Raw genomic sequence first — 20,515 nt, 5'->3', positions numbered from 1 at the left:
GAAACAAATTGTACTTAACACACACACATAGAGCCGGCCAAGAGCCAAGACTTAGAATTGGGGCCCGGCATGGTGGCTCATGCCTGTAATCTCAGCACTTAGGGAGGCCAAGGCGGTGGATCACTTAAGGTCAGGAGTTCGAGACCAGCCTGGCCAACATGGTGAAACCCCGTCTCTACTAAAAATACCAAACAAACAAACAAACAAAAAACCTAGCCAGGCATTGTGGTAGGCTTCTGTAATCCCAGCTACTGAGGAGGCTGAGGCAGGAGAATCTCTTGAACCCGTGAAGTGGAGGTTGCAGTGAGCAGAGATCAAGCCACTGGACTCCAGCCTGGGCAACAGAGCAAGACTCCACCTCAAAAAAAAAAAAAAAAGACTCAATTCATTCAGTTCCAAAGAACACATTAACAAATTAAAAGAAATAACCTGAGAGAGCAAAATGGGTAAGTGATGTAATAGGCAAATGATATACCATTGTTGTCTACCAGATAGGTGAAACTATAAAAGATTAATATTATCAAGTGTTCATATGGGGGGAGAGGAGGAAACAAAATAAGCTGATCTGGTTTTCTTAGACGGCAATTTGGCAGTATCAGTGAAATTTTTTTTTAAGTAAGCATATTCTTTAATCCAGAAAATAATTCCTTTTTGGATGTCTCTCCTAGAGAAATACTTATACATGTATACAAAAAGATATATATATATTTTTTTGTTGTTGTTGTGACATTATAATAGAAATAATCTTAGTTTGATAAACTATAATGCACCCATATTATGGAATACTAAACAGCCATTTTAAAATGATGAAGCAGATTTTCATTATTTGATATAATCTCCAAGGTGAAATATTACATTAAAAAGTTATGGAATATAAATATTATCTATCATTAGTTTAAAACACACAAAACCATACATTCTTATATTCATATATTCTCTCTCTCCTCTGTCTCCACACATACATATCACGTAAATAAATATACAGAAAGTGATCTAGAAATACACTCTCTAGTTAGGCTTAGATCATGGTATTCCTGGGTAATTATAGGAATGGGAATGCAGTGGATGTTGTTCTGTTGGACTTTAAAAAATATATCAATTGCATGAATCTTTTACAGAAGGACTGTATGCCAGTATTACTTGTGAAATTAAAGTGGGGAGGGGGAAGAATGCCAAAAGACCTGGGCATGCATTCACAACAGAAAGACCTAGTTGTGGCAGACGACTCTTGAGAAGCTTGTCACAAACTGACAGAACAGTATCTGCAGGAAGAGGTGGACTCAGAGCTGCCTCTATAATCTAGGGGCCCTTTGTTTCAAAGGGAGGAAAAAAGTGTCATTAAAGGTACACCTAAAGCTTTTTCTTTTCTTCCAGGGTTTCCATCCTGACTTGTCATGTTTTTTATGCACTATTTCATGTTCAGAGTAAAGAACAATTAAAAATGTGAATTATCAGCATGAATTTTACTGTTTATATTGTGCAACACCAGTTTTAAATGCAAATTTCAGAATATTTAACTCATGTGGAGTCACTGAAATTACACAGTTTATATTCTGTGGCTTGTCCCTGGAGGATGCCTCAAGCCGGCTAGAAGAGACTGAACACAGCCAGACTCGGGAAGGCTGGAAGGAGGGAGAGGATCCCATCCCCAGGCAGGGAAACAGCCCAGAGAACACTCTGGCCCTGGGGCCCTAGAGGATTAGGGGTGGGTAATCAGAGCAAGTACAGACGGTCAGAGGGCCCTGGGGTCCCACTAATGTGTGCTGGGCCTGATAGCTTGCTGTGATGACATTCATGCAAACCTCCTGACCTGAATGCCCTGCTGGGGACAGGGTTTGGGGACTTTGAGCCACGGGCCTATTGCTCCAACCCACAGCAGATGGTAACCACCAAGGATCCTTAAACCTCCATGACTGGATCTGGAATCCGGGCTGGGCCAAAGGCTCACCCTCACCAAGAGATTGCCTCCAGCCAGGCAGCCACCAGACAGAAAGTGACACTGCCCGTTTGGGGCTTTTGTGCACTCAAGATGCTGTGGGTATGCATACTTAAACCCCACACCTTGCTTGGATCCCTTTCAGCAGTGGCAGTGGAGCAGAGTGGGAGAGGACCAGCAGGGGTATCAAGAGCTGTGGGAGCGGGCAGCCCAGATACCCTCCTAGGAGGCGACAGGACCCTGTGAGAGCAGAGGCCCCAGTCCCCAGTGTGTGCCTCATTTTCCCATTGACCTTCACTTACAAAACACACATCCAAAACGAAAGTCCTTACAATTCAAGACAGCAACCACATTAAACCCCAACTGCAAGCCCTTCTGCCCTAGGGTCTTGTATACCTGCAGTAGTGCACACCTTGGTAGGTAGCCTGGGGAGCCCTGACTGTGTTTAAGATGGGAAACACTAGAAGACGCTTGAATTCTCAGAGGTAGAATTCATTAGCTAAGGACAGGATGAAGATGATACAGAAAGAGGACACAGCTGAGAGGGTCAGCCCCCCAAGATGGAATTCATAACCCTTGGGGGGAAGATGGAGAGGAAAAGCGGATGCCCAGGGTAGACTTGTCAGTGTTTTGGCAGGAAGGGAAGGGAGTTTCTATTCCTTAATGTCTGTTTTCTCTATGGATTATGAGATGAGATGTTTTGCCTGGGCTGGGGAGGGAGTCTTAAAGGAATCATAGGAAAGTGTAGATCAGAGTGGAGAAGCTGTGAAGAATGGAGGACAAACCGCTAAGGGATGAGCCAGAGGCCTGTATGCCAGCCTGCCTGGATTCCAGTCATGGATTTATGGAGCTTCCGACCTGCCTGGTTGTGCAATATTTGGGACCCTGAAAAAAGAAAACTCCACCTTAGCCCCAGTCAGAGGTAAGGGTAGCCCCATAGGAGGAATTCTTTCGAGGAATAACTTTCTGTATACTGAATTGAATTTAAAAAGACTTGTTTTTTAGTGTTTATGTCTTCTTTTTAAAAAAAAAAAAATGAAATGGTGTTGGTAATAGCTTTCTTTTTGTATTTCTAAACTGTGGTAATATGTACATAATATAAAATTTGCCATTTTAATTATCTTTACATATACAGTTTATAATGTTTGTTTTAAAATGTTTTTACTTTATAAGATTAAAAAGTTGGTACTCCTATATTGCACCTCTAAGATCGTTTTAAAATTTTTACTGGTCTATGAAATTTAGAAACATTATGAGCCTTAAAAGAATCTTTCCCCCATTTAACATTGTTACATGACTTTATTGGCAGAGGAAAATTCTGTAACAATTTGTAGAATCTTTAATGGTATGGCATAGGAGTGGAATCAGGATTACTTTTGGTTGTTATAACATCTTGATAAAGTGCTTCTCCTTCTAATATTTTGTATATATTCTCTTCTCTGACATTATCGAGATTGTCTAATGCTTCACTACCGTAAATAAATACTTCCTCTTTGTCAAGCGTAAACTCACAGTTCATATAAAAATAACATAAATATGCTTTCCTAAGGATCTTTTTTGCAATTAAAACCATACATATACATATATACAAATTAGGTGTGGATATAGTTGTTCATTTGGTCAAGGCTGTTTTATTAAGTAGTTCTATCTAAAATGTGTAAAGATTTTGCACACATAATGCTTTTTTCATTCTGAGCCGCAGACACCAAAAATCCCACAGGAAGTTGTCTTTTAAGTGTTGTGGTTTTTTAGTTTCCTGTTCAGTTGCAGAGATGATCAGAAATAAGATAAATCTGTACAATCGAAAGAGATTTGTGGTTAAACATTATAGTAACTCTAAATGAGAATCCTTAATTAACTTGTATTTCTTCCCATATTGATCTAGAGGAGCTATGATGACATGCGTGTGTAAGCATAAAAGTCAGAAAATACTTTTTTGGTGTTCCATGGATAAACTCTTTAATTGTTAAATGGGTGATTCTTTCAGATTATTCTTTATACTTTCCACTTGTTGTCAAAGCACCTACCTAAAAAATAAACTGCAGGAATAAAGCTTTGTTTTTAATTGTTGGCAACAGTTTTACCTTTATTTTACAGATGATAAAAGCCTTCTCTTGTTTATTTAAAGAACAGACTTTATGAAGTTTAATTTAGATATTAAAAATACCACTGAAAAATTTTAAAGTGATACTATTAGTCACTGAAATACTAAATATAATTTTTAAAGAATAATATTTTCAAGATGAAATATTTTTGTTTGATTTCATTTTTTAAACCATGGCAAAGATAAAACTGTTAAATATATAACTATTTTTAATTAGTGACAAATAGTTGCAATCTAGCATTTAAATTACACATTGGGCAACTTGTAAAAGTGACAAATAAGGAAAAGTGAAAAATGTCAGTGCATTTGTAGATAGTGTCTCTAGATTTAGGTGCTATTAAAGACACCACACCTAGTTCTAGGCAGCTTATGCAATTGCACATCTTCTTAAATGGTAAAGATAATGTGAAAGGTCTTTCATCACCACCTTTTAAAATTAAAAAATACTTCCCAAACCTTTTTAAATGGTGTTTGCATATGAAGAAATTTAATCACAATTTTTTTTTTTTAATGGGGTCTCACTGTTTCCCAGGCTGGTCTCAAACTCCTGGCCTCAAAGAATCCTCTGGTCTTGGCCTCCCAAAGTGCTGGGATGATGATGATGATGATGATGATGATGATGATGATTTGAGACGGAGTTTCGCTCTTGTTGCCCAGGCTGGAGTGCAATGGCATGATCTCAGCTCATTGCAACCTCCGCCTCTCGGGTTCAAGCGATTCTCCTGCCTCAGCCTCCTGAATAGCTGGCATTACTGGCGTCTGTCACCATGCCCGGCTACTTTCCTATTTTTAGTAGAGATGGGGTTTCACCATGTCGGCCAGGCTGGTTTCGAACTCCTGACCTCAAGTGATCTGCCTGCCTTGGCCTCTCAAGTGCTGGGATTACAGGCTTGAGCCACTGCGCACGGCCCCAAGTGCTGGGATTATAAACGTGAGCAACTACGCCTGGCCACCATTTTTTTTTTTTTTTTTTTTTTTTTTTTTTTTTTTTGAGACAGAGTCTTGCTGGTTGCCCAGGCTGGAGTACAGTGGCACGATCTGGACTCACTGCAACCTCCGCCTCCTGGGTTCAAGTGATTCTTCTGCCTCAGCCTCCCGAGTAGCTGGGACTACAGGCACGCGCCACACCAGGCTAATTTTTGTATTTTTAATAAAGACGGAGTTTCACCATATTGGCCAGGCTGGTCTCAAACTCCTGACCTCGTGATCCGCTCGCCTCGGCCTCCCAAAGTGCTGGGATTACAGGCGTGAGCCACCACGCCTGGCCCACAATTCTTAAAAGAATAAATAATACTTTGTCCAAAAGCAAAACAATTACAACATGACTTTAAAACAAAAATGACTTCAACCATTTTTATGAAGAACAAAAAGGAATAAGGGTTTGGTTTGCAGAAGGCTCTTTTCTGGTTCAGACAGCTTTGGGTTGCAAGATGTGTGGCACTTCGAAGCCTTAATTGATACTTATGTATCACCTACACATACTTCTTTGTTAAATTTGTTCTTTTCATACAGTTGAATTCTAAAGAGAAAACCATTGTCTAAAGCCTGATGTTTATGATTTCTTCCATTTCTTCTGTGCCGGTTGTGGCACTATACCAGATACTTTAAAGATGTTATCATTGATGTTACTAAGGATTTCTGGCATTTTTTGAAGACCTTTACATTTACAAGTGTAGATTAGTGAGTCTAGGATTGGTTTCTTACCATGTTCCTTGGTGTTTAGCAAAGCCGTCAACATTGTGGGAAGTTTGTGTAGTGGCTGATTAAACTGGACCATGGACTGCACGTGTTTACACCCTTTTCTGCCCAACTTTGAGTTGGAGGGACAGCATTGGAATGCAGGGCAGCTTGACCCGTTCGGTCAACAAGAATTTCAGCAATCTTGATGGCCAAAAATAAACTTTTCAAGATTCCTGTCTAGATGGGCGGGAAAGAGACTTTGGATATATCTTGAGGTCTAATGTGGGGTGTGGGCCGAGATGTCACAGGTCTCTAGGGTGTTTCTCAGGCTGCTGCCTCCGGGTGCCCATGACCTCATCACCAGTTTCAGCCTTGGCAGTCGGCGCCGGTGAACGAGAGCAACGCTTCTGACCCTGCCGGAGCTCCTCGGAGATGAAAGCCATGACGCGCCTTGCAGAAAATGCATTCCGCCTTCCGTGGGAACAACGCCGAGGCACGCGGTGACAGCCGTGACCATGCTGTTTGCCCAGTGAAGGAAACAACTGTCGGGTATCGGCTCTGCCGGCCTTTCCAGCCGCACTCATGCATGGGGCTCACCCCATGATGTGCGTGGCTTGTCGAGGAGCAAGTGGACAAGTCTCTTAAGGAAAGCTTTGGTGCACAGGCGCTTTCTCCTTGGGGGCGAATTCTGCCAGACCTTGGATAAAAACAAACAGGAAGACTCGCACGGCAGCGGAAACTGTCTTCCAAGTTACTTGGGTTACCCGGCTTTTCCTTCCGCGCTTGGGGTCGGGACCCCGGCCGCTCGTCCCGCCCCCTCCCCCGCCGCGGCCCCGCCCCCTCCCCGCCTCGCCTCGCCTCGCCTCGTCCAGCCCCGCCCCCGCCGGGCCGGGCATGCTCAGTGGGCCGGGCCGGCAGGTTTGCGTGGCCGCTGAGTTGCCGGCGCCGGCTGAGCCAGCGGACGCCGCGTTCCTTGGCGGCCGCCGGTTCCCGGGAAGTTACGTGGCGAAGCCGGCTTCCGAGGAGACGCCGGGAGGCCACGGGTGCTGCTGACGGGCGGGCGACCGGGCGAGGCCGACGTGGCCGGGCTGCGAAAGCTGCGGGAGGCCGAGTGGGTGGCCGCGCTCGGAGGGAGGTGCCGGTCGGGCGCGCCCCGTGGAGAAGACCCGGGCGGGGCGGGCGCTTCCCGGACTTTTGTCCGAGTTGAATTCCCTCCCCCTGGGCCGGGCCCTTCCGGCCGCCCCCGCCCGTGCCCCGCTCGCTCTCGGGAGATGTTTATTTGGGCTGTGGCGTGAGGAGCGGGCGGGCCAGCGCCGCGGAGTTTCGGGTCCGAGGAGCCTCGCGCGGCGCTGGAGAGAGACAAGATGTCCGCCAGAGCTGCGGCCGCCAAGGTGAGCGCCTCCGCGGCCGCCAGGGCCAGACCGGGCCGACCGTCGCCGCCCGCCCACCGGCATCTGGCCCGCGTCCCGCCCTCCCTCGCTGGCGGCTGTCTGGGCCCCGGGGCGGCGGGGTGGGCAGGGCTGGCGCGGGGCCGCGGGCCGCGGGCCGCGGGCCGCGGGGAGCCCCTCGGGCGGGGGCGGCGCGGGCCGCACTGGGGGCGGCCGGGGAGGGGGCTGCGGGCGCCCGGCCGCCGTACTGGGCAGGTGCATAGCTGCCGGCGCCTGTGCCTGGCTGCGGCTCGCTGAGGGCGGGGACACGCAACAGGTCCCTCGCGGAGAAACTCGGCTCCAGTGAGGGTTCGGGGGCTGGAAGCCGGCTCTCAGCGGGTCGGGGCTTGGGGTGCCACCTCCTGCTGGCCGGGAGCTGCTGTCTTTGGAGGAGTGGTTGGTCCCCGGCGAAACCCTGTAGTTTCGATCTGATGTCACTCCCTGCGGTATGCGCACGCCAGCGATAAGGCTTTGAGACTGCAAAACACTCCACTCAGCCTGTGAGGCGTAGTAGGTCGGGTTTTCTTTCATGCTGTATTACTTATTTAAGGTAACTTTGAAAATAACCTCTTTAACATTTAATAATTTAACTTGAATTAAACTTTCACAAGTAATACAAAGTATTCCTACGAATGGACAATAAGATGAGCACTTAAAAATTAGTAAAGGCCGGTGAGTTCAGCCGAAAAAAGTAACGTTTTTCCTGTTACTTTTCCTATGTGCTCTGAAATATTATTGCATTTTCCCATTGCTTTGAAACTAACTTGTGTATTACATTAAAAAGCCAAAGTTCCTGAAAAACAGCTAGGATGCTCCTCCCATTTTGTATATTAATTTTTTCATCATAAAATAGTACTTGTTATTTCAAACAAAGGAATACAGAAATGTGAGGAGTAAAAAATCTCCCCTTTAAAGAATATCAATTCATTACTTCAAATAGTATCGAGATACTTGGGCAGGTAGTGGTTTTCTGTGTGTATTTTTGTTTGAAATGCTTACCCGTAACATCTGGGAGCAGGAATACTATGCCTCTGAAACTTTTGAACTCTCACAGAAGCTTGTTTGCTGGCTGGGAGAAGCTAGCGGTTACACTTATTAATGAATAGATTGTTTTAAGGGATATAGTATTCTTCGTTTAAGAAAAATTTAACTTGCACCTTTTGACCTTACATTGAGGAAGAACAATCTAAAGGTAAAACTTGATCCAGAGATTTAGGATAAAAGGCAACATTTTGCTTTGGTTTTAAAATAAGCTCCCATTATTTGTCTTTTCTGGGGCTTTCTTTCCTAGGAGGAAAGGCTTTGTTTCCGTATTACACAGAATGTCACTTTGTTCCTGAAGTGTGATCTCTGGTACTTAATATGCAAGACAACACACTTTTTAAGAGGTTATTTCAAGTATGGAGAGAAATACGTTTTCAATGGATTGCCACAGTAAGGTAGGAGGAGTACTTCTCCTGAATTATAGTATTGAGATTTGTATGGCATATTGAAAAGCATCACTCGTTAAATATTACGTTGTAGGGACTTTTTTGCATTGTAAACATTTGCGAGTAAAGGGCAAGTTGAAAGCTTTTTTTTAAGATGCTGTATTATGGAGCCACTTCAGAATTTTATATAGAGCAAAACAGGCCATAAATGAATAAGTGAAATGAAATAATATTCAGTGACCTGTTTCCGTAAGTCACATTTAATTTTTGAAGGTGATTAAAATGCTTACTAAGAGCCAGGCTGGACTCAGTGCTTTACATATGATGCGTTTGTTTTCCCCACCCTCCTTTCAGTTTGGAAAAAAAAAAAAAAAAAGGCAACATTAATTTGGAAGCTCGCTGTTACTGTTTTAGCATGATAGTTTGGGAAACTCTTGTCTAATAAGCCAGTGCTTTTGATTCGGTTTTCTTTATAATGGTTGAATAGTTTGTCATCCTATGAATATGCTGCTGTTTAGATTATCTTTGCTTTCTTGATAGACATTTGTTTCCAGGATTTTGTTCTTGGAATAGTAGCCTTTTTATATCTGTACACATATATTACTGTATATCAGATTCTTAAAAATGGAATTACCGAGGCAAAGGCTATGTGCAGTTTAAATTCTGATATATACTACTAAATGTTTCTCTAAAAAGACTACCTAGAAATAAATATAACAAATATTGGTGAGCTACTGGAATCTTAATGAAGGACATAAAGTGAGATCTGAATAAACGAGATGAAACAATGTATTTTCTGGATGGAGACAGTCACTGTTGTAGAATTTACTAATTTTCCCCAAGTCAGTGTCTTCTAGTGTTGTATTGTAGAAAACTTGACATATTGATAAGAAAACCTACATGATAAAATGATAGCGACAAAATTTTGGAAAAAGAAGGCCGTATCAGGAAACTTGTTAGAAATTCACAGTCATTTAAAGCAGCCCGTCAGTTCAGGAACCAGGGAGGTCCAGAAACATCTGTGCATTTATGGGCTTTTAGTAATTATGATCATCAGTATTATTGCATGTCAGGTATTGTTCTAAGTGCTCAATTTATTTAATTCTCACAGTAACCCTATGAAGTGAACTATTATCTCTACTTTTTGGTGAAGAAATTGAAACACAGAGATACGATAACTTTTAAGTTCATTTAGCCAGCAAGGTGGAAAACTACGAATATGTGGTAAAAAATAATATTGTAGACTATTGGAGAAAGTGGCTTGTTCAATGTATGGTGCTAGGACTATTGGTTATCCATTTTTTAAAAATGTTTTCTGCCTCATAGGCTAAAAAAAATCAAAGGAAATCTAAATGACAAAGAGCAATAAAAATTCTAAAATAGAAGAAAATGTAGAATACTACTTAAAAATATGTATGTACCTAGATTGAAAAGAATCCTCCGTGCATGATACTAAAGAAGTAATAAAGGCGGGTGGGTCACTTGAGGTCAGGAGTTCGAGGCCAGCCTGGCCAACATGGTGAAACCCCGTCTCTACTAAAAATACAAAAATTAGCCGGGCATGGTGGCGCGTGCCTATAATCCCAGCTACTTGGGAAGCTAAGGAAGGAGAATTGCTTGAACCTGGAAGGCGGAGGTTGCATTGAGCTGAGATCGGGGCCACTGCACTACAGCCTGGGCGACAAAGTGAGCTTCCGTCTCAAAAACAAAAAGTAATGAAGGAAAAAACGTGGCCGGGCGCGGTGTAATCCCAGCACTTTGTGAGGCCAGGAGGGGCGGATCACGACGTCAGGAGTTCAAGACCAGCCTGACCAACATGGTGAAACCCCGTCTCTACTAAAAATACAAAAAAAAAAAAAAAAAAATAGCCGGGCCTGGTGGCGAGCACCTGTAATCCCCCCTAATGGGAAGGCTGAGGCAGGAGAAACGCTTGAACCCGGGAGTCAGAGGTTGCATTGAGCCAAGATCGCACCACTGCACTCCATCCTGGGCGACAGAGCGAGACGCTGTCTCAAATAAATAAATAAAGGAAAAAAACGTTTTTTATATGTGTGATAAACGTCTGCGTTCGCAGTCAGAATTTTGTTTACTGGTGTATTTGATTTAAGATTATTAGAAAGTTGAAAAACAAGAATTAGGGTGGTTCTCTGCGTCACCAAAGAATTGTTTAAATGTGTAAGAAAGTGGTATGAATCATTGTTAAGAAACGATTTCATTGGTTGAATCACAGAAAAGTGGCTGAAGGAAGTTTCAGTGGCTTCTGTGTTTTCAAGCTGTTTTCCTTTGGAGGAAGCAATAAAATTTAATTTAAGATTGTGCTATTGTATATGCTTATTAGATTTTGCTGAATACTTAAATGTTTTTGTTAAGTCTCGGGAATAGTAGTATTGCCCGCTGTGGCTATCTGAAATTATAATGTAAGTATGAAAATGATTTATGTCATTTTTTACTGTTACACTGATTTACATGATACCCAGGAATTGATTTATTGTATCAAGTGGAGCACAGTGGGCTTTTTTTTTTTTAATTAAGTTCTGGGATCCATGTGCAGAATGTGCACATTTGTTACATAGGTATACGTGTGCCATGGTGGTTTGCTGCACCTATGAACCCATCATCTAAGTTTTAAGCCCCACATGCATTAGGTATTTTTCCTAAATGCTTTCCCTCCCTTTCCCCCCACCACCAACCCGGGTAACAGGCCCCAGGTCCTGGTGTGTGATGTTCCCCTCCCTGTGTCCATGTGTTCTCATTGTTCAACTCCCACTTATGAGTGAGAACATGTGGTGTTTGGTTTTCTGTTCTGGTGTTAGTTTGCTGAGGATGATAGCTTCCAGCTTCGTCCGTGTCCCTGCAAAGGACATGAACTCATTCTTTTTTATGGCTGCATAGTATACCATGGTGTATATATGTACCACATTTTCTTTATCCAATCTGTCATTGGTGGGCATTTGGGTTGGTTCCATGTCTTTGCTATTGTAAATAGTGCTGCAGTAAACATATGTGTGCATGTGTCTTTATAGGAGAATGATTTATATTCCTTTGAGTATATACCCAGTAATGGGATTACTGGGTCAAATGGTATTTCTGGTTCTAGGTCCTTGAGGAATTGCCATACTATCTTCCACAATGGTTGAACTAATTTACATTCCCACCAACAGTGTAAAAGCGTTCCTATTTCTCCACAGCCTCGGCAGCATCTGTTGTTTCCTGACTTTCTAATAATCACCATTCTGACGGGTGTAAGATGGTATCTCATTGTGGTTTTGATTTGCATTTCTCTAATGATCGGTGATGATGAGCATTTTTTCATATGTTTGTTGGCCGCATAAATACCTCCTTTTTTTTGGCAGCATAAATGTCTTCTTTTGAGAAGTGTCTGTTCATATTCTTTGCCCAGTTTTTGATACGGATATTTGTTTTCTTGTAAATTAGTTTCACTTCCATGTGGATTCTGGATATTAGACCTTTGTCAGATCAGTAGATGGCAAAAGTTTTTCTCCCATTCTGTAGGTTGCCTGTTCACTCTGATAGTTTCTTTTGCTGTGCAGAAGCTCTTTAGTTTAATTAGATCCCATTTGTCAATTTTAGCTTTTGTTGCAATTGCTTTTGGTGTTTTCATCATGAAGTCTTTGCCCATGCCTATGTCCTGAATGGTATTGCCTAGGTTTTCTTTTAGGGTTTTTATGGTTTTGGGTTTTACATTGAAGTCTTTAATCCATCTTGAGTTAATTTGTGTATACAGTGGGCTTTTCTTGATATCTTAACGTTTTTGAAACCTTAAGAGCTGCAGAAAATGGCCAAGCTAATGAACAAAAATTAATGACAAGAGTCAGTCATTACATATAGGGATTGTTTCTTGAGTGAGTGATGCAGTGTTTTAATTATGATAGTTACTGATCAATGCATACTTGCTTCATACTGTTTTAAAAGTGAAAAACTCACTGTAGTTTGTGAGAAGTCACTGAAGTTTGGCTGCCAACTTTTAATGATCCTCACTGTAGCAATAATTTTTGTGTGTGTTTGGCATTTTAGACCATCATGGTTAAAGCTTTAATTTATATAGTTGGCTGATAATCCTAACTACATTTTACAACTCTTACATTTGTTTCAGGACAGCTTCATAAGATAGTTATGTTTCAAATTGTGGTGTTCTTCCCCCCCAGGTTATATATTGGCACAAATTACATTATATTATTAGGAAAGACACCAATTTGCCAGACTCAAGCATGTAATCCCTGCACTTTGGGAGGCTGAGGCGGGCATATCACCTGAGGGCGGGACTTCAAGACCAGCACAACCAACACGGCCGAAACCCCGTCTCTACTAAAAATACAAAAATTAGCCGGGTGTGGTAGCACATGCCTAAAATCCCAGCTACTTGGGAGGCTGAGGCAGGAGAATCATTTGAACCCAGGAAGCAGAGTTTGCAGTTGAGCCAAGGTTGCAGTGAGTCGAGATAGCACCACTGCACTCCTGCCTGGGCAACAGAGTGAGAGTCTGTCTCAAAAAAAAAAAAGGAAAGACACCAATAAATAATGAGGTGGAAACCAATCTGTGGCTTCGAGGGCTGTAACGCAGTATATGTAGTACTGCTTCCCGTTTGATTTGAAGGAAAAAAAGTACAGTAGTTCCACTCCCTTTTTCCCCTCCAATCCTGGAAACAAGGTCTGGCTCTGACTTTTACTTGCTCTTTAATCTCTTTTCTGTTTAGAGACCAAATGTAAACTCTGTACAGTTCTAAGAATAAAACTGTGTATAAATATGATAGATCACCATGCTGCTAAGGAAAATGTCTTTAAAAATAATAGTTTTGGTGGAAAATTTGAAGACGTAATCCTGTTACTTGACATACCCCTGATATGATAAAAATTCACCTTACTGAAAGACCATGAGTCCAGCTGTAAATTCATGTGTAGTGCCACCCATCTGTGACTGCTCAGTCATTGCTCATTTCAGGCCTGCCTGAAAGCATTCACGTGCTCAGCATTGTGTATGACTGAGCATTATAGTAGCTGAAGACAAGCTAGTGGAATGAGCCAGTCATTTCTAATTAGCAAAGTTTTGATATGTTAAATAAAAAGATAGTTTATGTCTAGAATGATCCTCCTGGAATATTTGACTGGAACTTGCTTTGCACCTCTGAATTTTGAAAGCAAATCTTGAAAAACCTTTTTACTTTAACAACTTTTAGTCTTGTAGAAAGAAATAGACATTAGGATAGTTTACAGATTTTAAAGTTAATCCTATAAAATTGGTGTGTTGCAGTATTTCTTGCATAAGCCAGCAATAAAAATAAGACTTTTGCTCTCTCTGACCTAGAGTGCATCTTTATTTATTTATTGCAGAGAAGAGTGGCTTCAGGTTGCTCCTTTATGGGCTAGCCAGGTGCTTTATTTCCATTCCTCTTAAACAGATAAATTCTTAATAATGAGCAGTATGTGGGGAATACGTGGGTAGGGAGTTTTATCTTATATCCTAAGCATGGATGAAAATAAATGGACTCTGAATGATTGCCTTTACCACAAGAACACAGCTTTAGATCATGAGAACACCAATGTTACCAAACTTTGTACTGTAAAACACCATTTGAAATGTGATAACAAAACCCTGTCATATATGTAGTGCTCAATACTGAATCTCAGGTGGCCCTCACTTTGGGATAGATCAAGAGATAAGGTTTTATTAGTTTGTGTTGCGGATATATTTCAGTTGATATACTGAAAATACTGGGAAGTGAGTTAACTGGTGAATGATCTCAATTCTAGTTTATCATGTCCGGAAAGGAGGTAAAACAGAAGCTGATATTACTTTCTGTGGATTCTAATTAGGAACATAAGATTAGCGTATACCTGGTTTAATTAATTTTTTTTGACTTACCGAAATATTTTTTCCTTTTTAAAAAAATGTAAATTCCCAAAGACTGAAAAGTTCATTTTTCTTCTTGGTTATCTTAGGAATTTTCACGCTTTTGGAATTGTCATTATCTTGGAGATTGTACAACAGTTTCTGGTAACTGAATATCACCAGTTAAACTTAATATAAGATTAGCTCACTTAATTTAGTATGTAATTTTAAAATTCAGGAGGATACCAGTAATGACTAATTCTTTTTGTTAGCTTAACACATATTAAATGAGTACATTTTGTTTGGGATCCCGATCCTAGAAATTTACAGTTTTCAACTGCTATACGCTGTAATGATCACTTTGTGAATTGTGTAACTCATTGTTGAAGAAACAAAGGATTTGCATTGTTTACTCTTAAAAATACGAGCAAACTTATGGTCATCCTGTAATAACAGAGCATTCTTGTGTGCTTTCTTCGTTGGAGGAGGTGACAAAGTCATTTTCTAAACCTGGGCTTGCTGTTTAGCAGAGTTTCTGTATTTTTCCTTGTTAATGTTTTTAAATGTTTGAATTGAATCTGGATACATTGATGTAAGTGTTTTCTGCATATGTTTGGTATCAATATCTCAATAGGAGGGAGACATTAAGAATTATAAAGTAATTGGCTTATATGCTTAACAGCTCCTTGAATATACTGACAAGGCAAATGAACACTATACTAGCTGTTACTGTTACATTTAGGGTTCAAGAAGCTGTGAAATATGTAACAATTTGGATTCCTAAAGCGGAATTTTACATTCAGCAGATATTTGTTGGTTACCTCGTGTGTACCAATCACTGTTGTAGGTGCTGGAGATGCAGCAGTGAACACATCTCTGTACTGATAGGGCATTTTAATGGTGCGGGTAGAGAGCAGCAAATAAAATTCTGTCCATAATGATAAGTGCTAGAATCCCTAACATGCCTTTTCTGGGTCATATCCTCCCTTCTTCAAAGATTGCATGTATCTTGTCTTCTAGGTTTCTCATTTTCTAGTTTTTCTTTATAGTTACCACCTAATTATGCATTCTGAAAGCACTAGTTTTGACTCTCTGAACTTTGCGCATACAGAATCTTCTAGTGTGAATTCTGTTGTATATGGCTTCTTTTGCTCAGCATTATGTTTGTAAGATTATGTTGTGGAGAACTGTAGCTCATTAGTTTTCATTCAGTTCTTGTACTTCATGGTATTCCATTGTATGAGGACTTTATTGGTTTCGGGAGAAAATAGTTTCAGTTAGACTTCTGTGGCTTTTTGGAGAAAAATATTGTATATGTCTGTCTGAGGGGCAAGAATTAGATATGCATTATGAGGCAGTCATTGGAGTACCAACAGCTGAGCAAAAGGTAGTAAGCTTCTTTTGGTGTTCCTATGATTATCTTGAAAAATCAAGTTGGTCTTAGTTTGGAGGATATTTTATGACTAAGATGTTTGTCATACTAAAGTATGTTTTAGTAGTAAGTATTGAAGTATGTTTTAGTAGTAAGATATCCACTTACCTGACTGATCAGACCACCAAAAGCCACAATCAGGGGAAATACATGAATCTGGCAAAAATGAGTCTGCCTTTCAAAATATAATTGTGGAAGTTTTTCCTGGTAATGTCATATAAAGGTACTAAGGAAGGTTTATTTACTGATTTTTTTTTTCTAACAGTGGCAGTTATTGGAGTATTAATACTTACTGGAGTGTTAATACAGAAGTACACTATTTTGATGCTGTATCACCTATAAAAATCAAGTCAGTAGCCATGGCAAGTAGGCTTACATTTTAGTTATAAGTGTGAGAAATATGTGTCAAAACAAACAGTAGCCCCTTATATTGCATGCTGACTCTGTGACAGATACTGAGCTAAGTGTTTTATGTGCATTATCCCATTTAATCTTCACAATTCTGTTAGATACTACGATTATCTCTGTTTTTACAGGTGAAGGATCTGAGGTTAAATTTACTTGCCATAGGTAATCATACATCTACTTACATGTTCTATAAGTCATACATTCACATCCTTTTATGTTCGTGTGTTGTAAGAGAGCACCAGGGAGAAGAGTATGGGATGGTGTTAGGTAAGTCTTAGACCAGAAAAGCAGCATGAATCATGAAAGCCAGAAGAGAGGGCACTGCTCCATCAGAGCACAAGCCAGTTTGTCTAAAGGAAGCAGCTCTTGCTCAGCCCCAGCTGATTGTTTTCTTGGAAGAAGACAGGCCAGATCTCCCAGTTTTTCAAGAGGTTGCAAATCCGGATTTTCATGTAAGTTACCCTGACTTAAGTCTTGCTAGTTGACTTAGTTTTTTATATCTTTTTATTGTGAAATATATTGCCATGTGTACAAAAGTACATAAAGCAAATGTACATTAATGGATTATTATAAAGTGAACACCCGTGTAAACACCATTCACCTGTCAGCAGGCCAGATCCTGCACAGAGAGGTCAAGTAAAATAAGGACTGAAAAGATTATCACCGAGCAACTCTTAAGTTTTACTTATATGTGAGTTTAGCCTCTGGAATCTGAATCCTGAGTCTGCCACTAAATGGCTGTTTTCTCATCTGTACACAAAATGCAAATGTAAAAATGCAAACAAGACCCATCTCAGAGTGATTGTGGGCTCAGCACATACTAAGCTATTATGTTAGCTGTGTCTTCTAAAAACATTTTAAGTGAAGCCTATTTTAATATCAGAGAGGAGGCATATAGGAATTTTATTTATTTACTTGTTTATTTATGGACAAAGGTTGGCCTGTAGATTATTTAAGACATTCATTCATTCATTCATTCATTCATTCATTTTGGACAGAGATCAGCCTGTAGGTTAGTAGTTTTCAGCCCAGCAAGATGTTTTGTGGTTTCAGAAGGAGGATTCATTTATTTATTTCTGGACAAAGATCAATCAGCCTGTAGGTTAGTAGTTTCAGCCCAGCAAGATGTTTTATGGTTTCAGAGGAAGGTTCCTTGGGTTCCTGAGATACTTTTGAAAAAATTATTACAATGGCATTAGATAAGAGATACAGTCCTTAGTCTGATGGATTAGGCAATAGAGTTGAAAGACTATTCCAAATCCAGGGTACCTGGCTCAATTTGGATGTCTACCTAGTATGGTGAATGGTTGATTAGCAAGTTCTATTCAGCTTTGATTTGCTGAGCACCTCAGGTCTTTCTACTTGTTTTATCCGTACTTTCAACCATTTACATTCTCCCTCCCACCACCCCCCCACCCCCACCCAAGTAATCCTCCCTCTGGATTCCTGTAATAGCCTCCTAAGTATCATACCCCCCTCTTCCCCTTACAATCTGTTTTTCTGAAATAATCTTTTCAAAATCCAGGTTTGATTAGTTTCTCTCCGCTCTCCCCCGCCCCGCTACACACACATGCGAACACTCATCCTAAAATTCCTAGGCTGCTTAACTACCTTTAGAGTAAAAGATCAAAATCCTTAATATGGTCAGTAAGCTCCTAGTGGATTATTTGGCCCCTGCCTACCCCTCTAGCCACATCGTATCTTTTTCCTCCTTGTTTCTTGTTCTCAAACTGTGCTTTCCTCTTTTTGGTTCCTAGCAAGTGTACTTCCTGTCAACTTTCTCTTTGAGTTCCTCATGGCACTGTTTTTCCTTCTTTCATAGTACTTATTTAACTTTGTGACTATATATTTAGCCATGGAGTTTTTCGATCATTTGGTTCTCCTGCTAGACTGTAAGCTCCTTGAGAACAAAGGTCATACTAGTTGTGTCCAGTTATTCGTGTAGTTTAACACAGTGTCTAGTACATAGGAAACTCTCAAAACATTATTTGAATGAATGAGAGATGCACTTTCCTACACTAGGCTCTTGCACGTGCTGTTTTTTCTACCCGGAAACCTTGCCACCTCCATCTTTCATGCACCTCATAGCTGTCTCTTCTCCTCAAGGACTTTGCCCAGAGCCCAGAAACTAGGTCAAAACTCTGTGCTTTAAACTCTGTGTACCCCTTTATAGCACTTATGATAACCTGTACTTAGTTCTCTGCTATTATTTGATTAGTATCTGTTACCCCTTCTAGACAAGAGTTGCCTTTTCAATGCTGTTAACTCACTTACTGGTAATGTTAGACCACCTTAAATTCAGCTTAGCAGCAGAAGGAAGGTACTAATCCATCTCCAGGACTAGTTGCATTTTTCTTACTATTCTGAAAGGGGAGGGGAAGCAGTTGCTGGAATAGCCAGCTCATGGAAATACTACTTAATATCCTGGCATCATGGTAGCTGCATTCTTGGTTTGGGTCTTTCCTAAATCAGTAATTAATTTCTAGTCCCCTCAAGTTACCTTCTTTTAAGTGGAAAATTTTCAAACCTATAGAAAAGTGGATGTGGGGAATATAATGAATTCCCACATTACTGTCACCCAGTATGGTTAACAACTTACAGCCAGTCTCATTTCATCTATACTTCATTCATTGTGTCTTCTCTTCCCCATTATTTTGAAGCAAATGCCAGATATCTTTTCATCTGTTAGTACATAGTGAACATCCCAAATCTGAAATGCTTCAAAATCCAGTACTTTTTGAGCACTGACATAATGCTCAAAGAAAATTCTCTTTGGAGCATTTCAGATTTCAGATTTTTGGATTTTGGATGGTTCACCCTGAAATCGGAAACACGTGGTTTGAAGCATTTCAGAGAAGAGATAGAATGGAATACTCAACATGTGTCTGAATATATATCTCTAAAAGATGTCTTTTTTAAAAGTACTATAACTACATTATCATTAGCACACTTTTAAAATAAACTCCAAATCAAGTACTTAAGTGTTTGGTTTTTTTTTTTTAAGACGGAGTTTCGCTCCTGGTTGCCCAGGCTGGAGTGCAATGGCATGACCTTGGCTCACTGTAACGTCTGCCTCCCTGGTTCAAGGGATTCTCCTGCCTCAGCCTCCTGAGTAGCTGGGATTGCAGGCATCTGCCACCATGCCTGGCTAATTTTTTGTATTTTTAGTAGAGACGGGGTTTCACCGTGTTGGCCAGCCTGGTCTCGAACTCCTGACTTCAGGCGATCCACCCCCGTTGGCCTCCCAAGTGCTGAGATTACAGGTGTGAGCCACCGCGCCCAGCCATGTTTAGTGTTTTCTAATTGTGTTAAATGTCAACTTTCCTTGATGAGGTCCTCTTACTGTGATTGTTTAACATTTCTCTTAGGCATATGAGGTCCCCCATTTCTGTCTCTCTCTTTCCCCTCTTCCCTTGCAGCTTTATTGGTTGAGAAACAGGATTATTTGTAGAAATTTTAACAGTATGAATTTTGGTATTTGCTTCCTTGTGGTGATTACAATGGTGGTTGGCCCACTGTATTTCCTGTAAATTGGTTAACTGTAGCTAGAGCAATTCTGTCTAATGTAGTAGCCACACCAAAACTTTAAGGTAAAATTAATTTTCATGTTTTATTTAACACACATATCCAAAATATTACCATTTTAGCATGCAATGATATAAAATTATAGGTGAGATATTTTAAATTATTTTCCATATTCAGTCTCTGAATACTGTTGCATGTATATTTTACATATCATGTATATTTTGCACATAGCATATCATAATACATATCACATATTTCGTATCATATATATATTTTACATATACCATATCTCAGTTTGGACTACCCACATTTTAAGTGCTGAGTAGCCCCATGTGGCTGGTGGCTACTGTACTGGATAGCACAGATCTAGAGCCTTGATCAGATTCAGATTTGATTTTTTTGTTTGTTTTTACAGTTCTACTTCATAAGTGGCATTCGGTCCCAGGGTTTTTTCTGTTGTTTTTGGATGATGTCTGCAGCCATTGATGATCAGTGTGTAGATCCCTTAATTCACTAGGTGTTACAAAATGATGATATTCAATTTTTATTATTCCTTTTTCATTGGTTAGCTGGAGTGCTTCTAAAAAAAGAAACTCTCCTTCATCTACTATTTTGATCGCCCACTGGTACTGTTTGTATAGGAAAGACAGAGTAAATATCTTATTCTTTCCCTATACGTACCAGTTTCTCAAAATAATGAGTTCTGCCAGCACTTATCATTTTTTA

General features: G+C 40.6%; 1 protein-coding gene and 1 long non-coding RNA gene across 31 annotated transcripts in view; one reads left to right on the top strand and one right to left on the bottom strand.

Annotated features, from left to right (window-relative positions):
* The window catches only part of TJP1 (tight junction protein 1), a 269,683-nt gene that overhangs the window by 139,937 nt on the left and 109,231 nt on the right, over nt 1-20,515 (top strand). For 11 of the 30 annotated variants that reach the window (NM_175610.4, XM_047432990.1, NM_001355015.2 and 8 more), the window contains exon 1: nt 6,645-7,111. The exons of 11 other annotated variants lie outside the window; for them this stretch is intronic. In NM_175610.4, the coding sequence (NP_783297.2) occupies nt 7,085-7,111 (27 nt within the window). In that variant the 5' untranslated portion in view covers nt 6,645-7,084. Of the gene's footprint in view, nt 1-6,644; nt 7,112-7,633; nt 7,698-8,438; nt 8,587-19,441; nt 19,528-20,515 lie in introns of those variants that run through there. 8 more of the 30 variants (XM_047432987.1, XM_047432985.1, XM_017022525.2 and 5 more) reach the window with 5 other exon arrangements.
* Nucleotides 3,216-4,605, bottom strand: LOC124903451 (uncharacterized). Its single transcript, XR_007064546.1, has 2 exons — nt 4,497-4,605; nt 3,216-3,729 (listed from the first exon to the last, which is right to left on the bottom strand). It is a non-coding gene; the product is annotated as an uncharacterized LOC124903451 (long non-coding RNA).

Source organism: Homo sapiens, chromosome 15, assembly GCF_000001405.40.
Source record: "Homo sapiens chromosome 15, GRCh38.p14 Primary Assembly".
NCBI classification, from domain to species: Eukaryota; Metazoa; Chordata; class Mammalia; order Primates; family Hominidae; genus Homo; species Homo sapiens.
The sequence above is the reverse complement of the archived record's forward strand: the minus strand, read 5'-3'. Positions and strand labels throughout refer to the sequence as shown.